This window comes from Homo sapiens, chromosome 17 (assembly GCF_000001405.40).
Source record: "Homo sapiens chromosome 17, GRCh38.p14 Primary Assembly".
In the NCBI taxonomy this organism is placed as follows: Eukaryota; Metazoa; Chordata; class Mammalia; order Primates; family Hominidae; genus Homo; species Homo sapiens.
In genome coordinates this window covers 36063929-36073427 of record NC_000017.11, presented here as the reverse complement: position 1 = coordinate 36073427, position 9499 = coordinate 36063929, and the positions used below count along the sequence as shown (strand labels likewise).

The window sequence follows — 9499 nt, the reverse complement described above, 5'->3', positions numbered from 1 at the left end:
TCCCACATTGTAAATATTTATCTTGATGATAAAATGAATGTATTAGTCAGTTATCCAGAAAAACAGAAACAGTAGGCTATTTCTCTCTATAGATATAGATTGGATACCAATGTTGATATAGATATAAATACCGAGATATTTATTAGGGGAATTGGCTCCCACAATTACGGAAGCCAAGAAGTCCTGCCATCTGCAAGCTGGAGAACCAGGAAAGCCAGTGGTGTGATTTGGTCTGAAGGCCTGAGAACCAGGGCAGCCAAAGTTGTCAGTCCTGGTCCAAGTTCACAGACCTGAGAAGGGGTCAAGAAGGGTAGGTGATGGTACAAGTCCCTGTCTGAGTCTGAAGGCTCAAGAATCGGAAGCGTGGATGTCAGAGGGCAGGAGAAGATGGATGTCCCAGCTCAAACGCAGACAGCAAAGTCACCCTTCCTCAGCCTTTTTGTTCTATTTGGGACCTCAGTGAATTGGATGATGCCTGCCTGCATTGGTGAGGGCAGATCTTCTTTAGTCTTCTGATGCTAATCTCTTCTGGAACACCACACAGACACACTCAGAAATGATGTTTATCAGCTACCTGGGTATCCCTTAGCTTAGTCCAGTTGACGCGTAACATTAACCATCACAATGAACAGCTGTGCTCTTTGTGAAGGTGCAGCTGTATTCATCAGAGGCAGGGAGCTAAAGACGCTGACCTTCGCACTTGTTTCACCAGCAGGGGGCAATGTGGAGTCAATACAATGGGGGAGCCGGTGGGCGGCGGAAGGGATGACCACAGAGCTCCCAGTGCTGTGCTGGAAGAGACGTGTTAAAAACCCAGTTCTAGAAATAACTGTATCTGATAGATTTTCTGCTTATGATTAACCATCCAATGGAATGAACCAAAAATAACTAGATCAGATGCCTTCAAAAATTAGAACGGAGTTGCAGTGCCTCTGAAACCTTAATGCTGGTTAAAAACAGCCTGTGACCCCACACCAACAGTGGTTCTCAAACTTGGCTGTGCATTAACATCCCCTGGGGAGTTTTTAAATTACTGATGCCAGGCCCCCACATCAATCCAATTAAATTCATAACTTTGGAGGTGAGGACCTGGCATTAGAATTTTTAAAAGCTCTCCTAAGTGATTCTAATGTGAATTCAAGGTTGAGAAGCCGTGTTCCACACTTAAGCCAAAGCCCTGTTCTACACTTAAGCCAAAGCCCTGTTCTACACTTAAGCCAAAATCAACAGACATCTCCAACAGGAAACAGACACCTCTATAAGCAGTATTCCTTCTTCAGAGGGTTGCCAGATACAATTTAGGATACCCTGTTAAATTCGAGTTTCAGAAAAAGAACAAATCATTTTTGGTACAAGTAGGTCCCAAATATTGCATGGGATATACTTACACTAAAATAGTATCCATTCTGTATTTTTATTTGCTAACTCTGGCCACCCAGCCCCAAGCCTCATCTCGTATAGTCATGGAAAACATCCTCCCCAAAAGCAGAGTGGAGAACAAAGATAACATTACCAAGGCTTTCAGCAACTTCCAGGTAAGGAGTCCTTGCTAGACTATGGGCAGTATTTGCTAGACTTTTACTAATATAAGTACTTAGCCCAAAACCCAGCACTTGGTAAGACCTCAACAGATGTTAGCCATCATTCTGAGGAAAGCTTCATTTATGAAAATGAGCTTGTGTGCGTAAATATGCATTGCAGCGTCATCTTGATATTCATTTAAGTAGAAAATTTTTCTATCACATTTCAGTTACAATATGGTTTATAAACTAATGGTGTCTGTTTCAACTTTTCAGGAAAGTATCTCCAGGGAAATGTCTGGTATGACTGTAGAAGTACTTGGTCCCTATCTTGCTGTTTCTGCCCCTTTTCATATTTCCCTACTCCTCCCCCAGAATTCCTCTCAGTCTGTGATTCCGATTAGTGAAACAAAATCAACAGAGTCGTCACAGTGAGAATGCTGGTTTACCTTTTATATAATAAGTACTGCCAATATATTAAAAGGTGGTGCTGAGCAAAACCATTCAATAAAGATTTGTCATTTGATACATATGGCACAATGTCTGCTGAGAAAGCTAATCACACTGATTGATCCATGCATTGAATGTACGAAGAGTTGAAGGGAAAGGGGAAAGGATGATAAAGACAATGTCATGAGATGTCAGAGAAAATACTAATTTCATAATGCAGCTCAACAATAGAAATCAATTTCAAAATGAAATATGATGCATAAACTAAGATTAAAGTTAGTTAATGTGGCTGGGCATAGCAGATGGGACTCTTAGAAGAGGTAGCCTCCAGGGTGGCAGGGCCATTGCCCTGGCTCAGGCTCCTGTTCCCTCCTGGGCCCACCAAGTTCACTGGGCCCTCGCAGCTTCCAGGCCCCTCAGGCATTCAGCTTCAGGTCGCTGATGTATTTCTGGACCCACTTCTTATTGGGGTCAGCACAGATCTGCCGGCCTCTCTTGGTTAGGAGGCTGTGGAGAAGGGAGGAAGAGTTAAGAACTGACGAATTCATCAGGGGAATCCTGTGGCCCCTGCGTCCTTCTCTGTCCCAGGCATCTCAGGGCCTGTCCTCGTGCCCGTAAAATTTCCCCTTAACTTCGGGGTTCACAGGCCTTCCCCAAATGTCTCAGATGGGGTTCCTCAGGAAGCAAACTTCCTGTTGTCATGTCTGCTCTCTTCCCTCTGCCCAGGGGCAGGCCCTTCAGGACTCTGCAGGCCCCAGGCCAGGTCACAAAACACTGCAGGGGCCTCCCCTGGAGTCCTTTACCTTGATGGGCCTTAGAGAGCTGAGTACTCTGAGGGGACCTCACCCCAAACCTCCCATCCTCCCTCCCGAGGGGTGGGCAGGAGCACTGGCACTTACATGACACCTGGCTTGGGGCACTGGGGGCTGGTTTCAGAATAGTCAACTATGAACTTTTGTGGAATCTGCCAGGAGGTATAGACGAGGCAGCAGAGCTCTTTGTTGGTACCAACTGCAAGAGACAGGACAGAAAGATCCCAAGTCATTGTTCACAAGGCAAGCCAGCTGCTCCTGGTCCCTTTCCTTGAGAGTCAGGAAGAACTGGGAGATATCACCGCTTGGGGTGGGGATATAGGGACAAAGAGATCCAGAAGGAAGCTGGCATTTCTTCTTTTCCCTGACATTTTAATTTCTGCATCTTTCTCTTGGTGTTTCTCATTCTCTGGCTGTCTTGGTTCTGGGTCTCTATGTCTCTTTACTGGAAATTTAGTTTTCTGAGCAAACTATTTCCCATCCCATCTCTCCTTGGGGAGTTCCATCTGAATTCATAAGGACAGCCAAGGCCACACCACTGAGAACCAATTGGACCCAGATCCTACCTCTTGTCAAAATCCCCGTGGGCCTCCATTTTCTCATCCATAGAATGGGACTCACTCTCCCTCTGTCTCCCAGAGGTGGAGAACAGAGTTGCTGAAACCTCTTAGGAAGAAAAATCCTCCTCGGGAAATAGTCCCTGAAATCCCTCTGATGTTCTGTATTTGGAGGTCTTAGAGATAGACTCGGGCAGTGGGGTCCAAGCCATGGCCAGACAGTAGGGGCACAAGAGCAAAAGACAAATTCACACAAGGGACAGCGGGCCTGGGGGCAGAGGGCCTCAGTGAAGAAAAGGACAGCAAGGGCAACTGCAGGGGTCCCCAGGATGCTGGGCAGAGTGTGAGCTCCCATGGCTGCCGGGAAGAGCTGAACTCAGGACTTGTAGCCGCTGCCTCCTTCTGGGGTCTCAGCCATCTCTTCTCTTTACAGGCAGCCTTGGGGTATTAGAAGATATAAACTTGGGGAGACTGAGGAGGAATTTTGTTTCTTTTTTCATTTTTTAAACTTTTAAGTTCGGGGTACATGTGCAGACTTGTTACATAGGTAAACTCATGTCATGGGAGTTTGTTATACAGATTATTTCATCACCCAGATATTAAGCCTAGTACCCATTAGTTTTTCCTGATCCTCTCTGAAGGGGAAAATTTTTTAATCATGATACTGGTGTCATGCTGTGCATTGCACAAACCAGGAGAGCTTCAGCTCACCACAAAGATTCAGGCTATTTGCAAGAATGCTTCAGTTGATCCCTTGGTGGGGAAATGGTTTCCACAGTGAAAGGAGGTGAGATGCTGGTGTCACCCTGAGACTGGGTTAGCTGGTGCCTTCTCACAAGGGCAGGTCTTTAGATAAAGCCTTTCTCCCATTGAGCAGAACCTTCTGATAGCCTCCCCAGCTGTTCCAACAGCATAGATGTACCATGGACATCAGAGCCAGGCATGGTGGCTCATGCCTGTAATCCCAGCATTTGGAGAGGCCAAGGTGGGAGGATTGCTTGAAGCCAAGAGTGTGAGACCAACCTGAGCAACATAGTGAGACCCTGTCTCTATAAATTTTTTTTTTTTTAAAGTAGCTGGGCATGCCTGTAGTTTCAGCTTCTTTGGACGCTGAGGCAGGAGGATTGCTTCAGCCCGGAAAGTCAAGCCTACAGTGAGCTCTGATCATGCCACTGCACTCCAGCCTGGGCAACAGAGTAAGACTTTGTCTCAAATAAATAATTAGGTAAATAAATAAATTTAAACAGGTGGTCCTCCCTGAGTTTGTTTAACAGCTCAGTTGTGTCATCAAGAACTCAGGCTTCTTAAAACATCTCCCCTTCCCCCACCATTTTGTTGGCTTTTCTTATTTGAGCTTGTCACCTCGTGGTCCCAAAATGGCCGCTGCTTTCTCAGTCATCACATCCTCATAATGTCTCATCCACAAGCATACGAGGGAGTCTCATAGGAGTACAGGAAGAGCAATGTTACTAGTGTTTTTAGTTCAAATAGCTTTTTATATGATTTGTTATGTGAACTATAGATTACACCAAAAAGCAGTAAAGCTAATTTTGAAAACACATAAAATACAGAAAAGAATAAAAACTCATTTAGAATCTCAAAGCTGGGTAGGCAGCAGGCAAACGGAGGCAGGAATGTGAGAGTTTTTTTCTACATTCCCTATTGTGGCATATGTGCATTCTGATGCAAAACCTGAAAAAAAAATTTCATTGAAGGTAGGAAAAATTCTAGTACCCAAACCTAGCCACTTTTTTTTTTTAAAAAACAGTTTGGTATATTTCTTTCCAGTGCAGTTTTTTTCTAGGCTTATGATAGTACTGTTTGCTCATTTGCTTTTTTCCTTCTTCTTACTGTGTCTGGTGGGGGAAGACATTACTGTTGTCATGATACAGGTTTTAATTTTGTATTTTTTTATTTATACAGCCATGCATCACTTAATGACAAAAATACATCTGAGGAACTTGTCATTAGTCTGTTTTGTTATTGTGGGAATATCATAGACTTACACAAACCTAGATGGTGTAGTCTACCGTACACCTTCACTGTATGGTACAGCCTGTAGCTCCTAGGCTACAAAGTTGTACAGCATGCCACTGTACTGAATACTGTAGGCAACTGCAATGCAATGTTAAGTATTTGCATATCTAAACATATCTAAACATAGAAAAGGTATAGTACAAATACAGAATTATAATCTTATGGGACCACCACTGTATAATATATGCAGTTTGTCATTGACCAAAGCATTGTTATGCAGCATATGACTGTGCTTAATATTAAAAGACTTTTCCAAATCATTCCAGTATTTTTAAGAACTGCCTAATTTACTTAAGCCTAGTGCATTAATATTGTCATGCACTACTGTAACATATGTGGGTTGGTTTCAATTTTTCCTTTTTTTTTAGATGGAGTCTCACTCTGTTGCCCAGGATGGAGTACAGTGGTGTGATCCCAGGTCAATGCAACCCCCACTTCCCAGGTTCAAGCGATTCTCCTACCTCAGCCTCCTGAGTAGCTGGAACTACAGGCGTGCACCACTATGCCCAGCTAATTTTTGTATTTTTAGTGAAGATGAGGTTTCACCATGTTGGCCAGGCTGGTCTCGAACTCCTGACCTCAGGTGATCTGCTTGCCTCGGCCTCCCAAAGTGCTAGGATTACAGGTGTAAGCCACTGCACCTGGCCAATTTTTCATTGTTATAAGTTGTGCCAAACATCTGTATGCAAAAAACTTTCTCCATAAGTGAGGTTATTTCTGTAGGATATTTTCCTAGCTGTGGGCTTCCTGGGTGAAAAAATAAGGGCATCTAAGGCTCCTGATCTATATAGACACCCCATATGTCATGCATATTCATGTCTATTACCCAGAGTCAAACCCAATGATGGCATATTGTAGGGAGCTATGAATGTTCAATGAATCAAACAGCAGTTAAAAGCCTGGCCCCATCATTCTTGTCATTCCCATAGTCCAGACTTTCCCTATTCCATTCTGTCCATTTGGGTCTGGATCAAACACAACTCGAACTACTTAAGATTCTGGGGTATCATCTTACATGTCACTTCTGTGCAATGGAAACACAACACTAGAAATATCTGTTCCATAGGAGGAAATGACCATGGTGCCATTCACAAATAGATCTGTTCTTGATAGAAGGTACCAGCTAAGCTTGGCTTCTTGGTAACACCAATTCTTGACGTCCTCCTCATGAGTTAAGCATTTCTTAGAAGCACTCCGATTAACACGATGTAATGGTCCTTTTCACCCAGGGTGTGGTTTAAATGTGACTTGTGCTGCCCAGAACGCTGTGGCATGACCATTTACATCACACCATGTGGTCAGAGGAGCTGCAGCACAGCATTAGAGAGCTGCTCTGTGGTGGAAGTGTTAATCTGAAGATCTCTCCTTGTACGTATGACTTCAACACTAACATCTCACCCTCTCTCACTGTCAAAAACATTTCTGCACATTCAGCCCCAACAAGTGAGCAGTTGAGTTGCTCTTGTACATCCTGAACCCCTGGGGGACCCAAGGTACCCCAACATGTACAACTCAGAGCAAGACACCATGCACTTAACATCTTCCCCTCTGGTCATCCCCAGTCTCCAGCTCCTCATGGTTTAGAGTTGCCTGTAAAGGGTTGAGGACATGGCTTGGACCCCAGAACGATGTAGGTGGCAGTGAGTGCCCAGTCCTGTTTTGGCATTGCCTACACTCCTCTGCCTGCCCAACACTGAACAGGTCTTCTTTGGTGCCCTCCATCTCCTCTCCATGGCCCTCAGCTCACAAGTCTCATCTGTCCCGTGAGACTCTCTTGACCCTTGTCCTTTCTTCATTTTAGAGTTGTTTCCCTATGCTCTGGACAGACATTTAAGCCATATCACTTAATTCTTGTGGATTAAGATTCTCTAAGTAAAATCAAAGAACTTCACAAAAGGTTTCAAAATGTTCTGGGCTATTTTCTGAGGACTTAGATATCTAACCTAGATCTGAAAGGCAGGAGAGGGCTAGGACCCATTGTTAGTTGGGAAAACTGGGGCCTAACTCAGTCATTCACAAGATGCAAACTCTGGGTCTAGTTGGTTCCTAGGGTGAGGAAGTGGCAGAGTTCCTTCAGTTCTCCTGAGAAGCTCTACTCCTACAGCGATTTAGAGACGATGGTCTCTTGCTGGGAAAAGTCTCTGTAGACTGAATGAAGTTCCTACCCAAAAGAGATGGAACAAAGGCCAGCCATTCCAAGAGCTATACTCCCTGAAGAGGGAGCAAGGGAGTGAGAGTAAGACAGAGGCAGAGATTTAAAAGAAACACTCAAAGTCAAGGATGAATGCCTGACTTCCTTAGTTCCTTTTGTGCCCTACTTCACAGTCCTGAGCAGTGAGGTCTTCATCAACTTCTTGCTGGTCCCTTTTCAAGAGTGGAAGAAATTTACTTGGTTTTTCTCAGGTTCTGGATGCTGGTTCCCTCACGGTTAAGGCACCCCATTGTCTCCTGCCTCTCTTATGTTTCTCCATATCCACTGCAAATTTGCTGACTCCAGCAGCTGGTGCTCTTACCCTGGCGTAATGTCAGCATCAGTCCTTCTGTCTGCAAATAGGGCATATGGAGGAGACAACCCATGGGACAAGGGACAAGGAGCACGTAAGCACAAGTAGGAGGTGGGAGCTACTATGGACTTTCATATCCAGTGTGAAGGTAAAATGAAGGTAAAATGAAGACATTTCCAAGCAAGCAAAAAATGGAGACTTCACTATCAGAAGACCCACAGTAATGAAAATACTAAGAGGATTCCTTTAGGCAGAAGAAAAGTGATTGCAGATGGAGCTCAGAGATGCAGAAGAATTTAAGAGGACAGGAAGAGCAAATATGTGATGAAAACTAAATGAATATTGACTGTATAAAGTAATTAAAATATATCATAGGATTTTAATTTTAAGACCGCTCACCACTGGTTTTATAATAGGCAACCGAAAATTTGCAGTGCATCTACTGGGAGGTGTAGGAGAAGCAGCAGATGCATGGGGTGTGAATCTTATCTGAGGGAACAAAGACAACAGGAGTTGCTCAGGAGAAGAAGCCCAGGCGGGTCACAAAGGAGCAAAGGGAGACAGCATAGCTCAGAGTTGAGGCCTGCAGGAAAAGAAAGCTGGAAATAATCTGGCTTTTTGTTTGTTTCTCCTTAATTTCCCTAGTCTTGTCTCTCCATTTTAGTCTTTATTTTACGCTACAGGGAATCAAGCTCCCTGAATAGTCTATGCCCTTCTCCTAACTCTCCTTGGGGAATTTTTTTTCTAATAGATTAAATCACAAGATAGCTGAGAAAAGTATAGACATCTTTTATGTTACCCAAGGGGTTGAACTCTAGGAGACTGCTGAGGTCATTGTAAAACTTACCAGCACCAGTGAGAACTAAATAGACCTAGATTCTACCTCACGCTAATAACCCAATGAATTAGACTTCAACCATCTCATTTATCTCAGTAGGATAAAACTTCTCTGACTCCCATCCTGCTGCCCAGATCAATAGACTGCTTTTCAACCTTCTTGAAGAAAACAATGATGTCACTTTGAAACCCCATTTGAGGATCCCTAATTTCACACGAGGGTTTTCAGGCCACAGCACTTGGAAGATGTCGCCTGACTTCTGCCCAGGGAGCCATCAAAGCACATGGATGACAGACTCACCTTGTGCACAGGAGCAGAGGGCCATGGTGCAGACGAGGACAAGGAGGGCAGCTGCAAGGCCCTTCATGATGCTGGGCAGGCAGAGAAGTGGTCAGAGTGAGCTGGGGCTTGGAAACTCACAACTCCTGGCCTCCTTCTGGGGTATGAGCTGTTGTCTCTCCTTTTTATAGGCAGACTGGACCATGGGAACATTGGAGGTGCTGATGCAAGACATTTTAACTATGGTGGTGTCATGTGAGTTCTCAGCCCAGGGTTGCCTATGGTTACTTGAAAGGTTTAGGGTACACAAACGAGTGGTTCACTTGTTGATTGAGGGGCTTATGGAGAAGTTGTATCTCCAGATGGGTGACCAGGAGTTGGAAGCACCCAGGGATTATGCTTAGGATTATGCATAATCATGTGATTATGTTTTCACATGACAGATATTTCTCAGAAATGAGTGGTCACAGCCTCCTTTGATAGAGCAGAATGCTTTAATGGA

At 44.3% G+C, this 9499-nt stretch overlaps 1 protein-coding gene across 1 annotated transcript; it reads right to left on the bottom strand.

Annotated features, from left to right (window-relative positions):
* Positions 1 to 1395: 1395 nt before the first annotated feature.
* Positions 1396 to 9156, bottom strand: CCL18 (C-C motif chemokine ligand 18). Its single transcript, NM_002988.4, has 3 exons — positions 9019 to 9156; positions 2870 to 2981; positions 1396 to 2477 (listed from the first exon to the last, which is right to left on the bottom strand). Exons 1-3 carry the CDS (start codon positions 9083 to 9085, stop codon positions 2387 to 2389), a joined length of 270 nt encoding a protein of 89 aa, NP_002979.1. The 5' UTR covers positions 9086 to 9156; the 3' UTR covers positions 1396 to 2386.
* Positions 9157 to 9499: the final 343 nt, after the last annotated feature.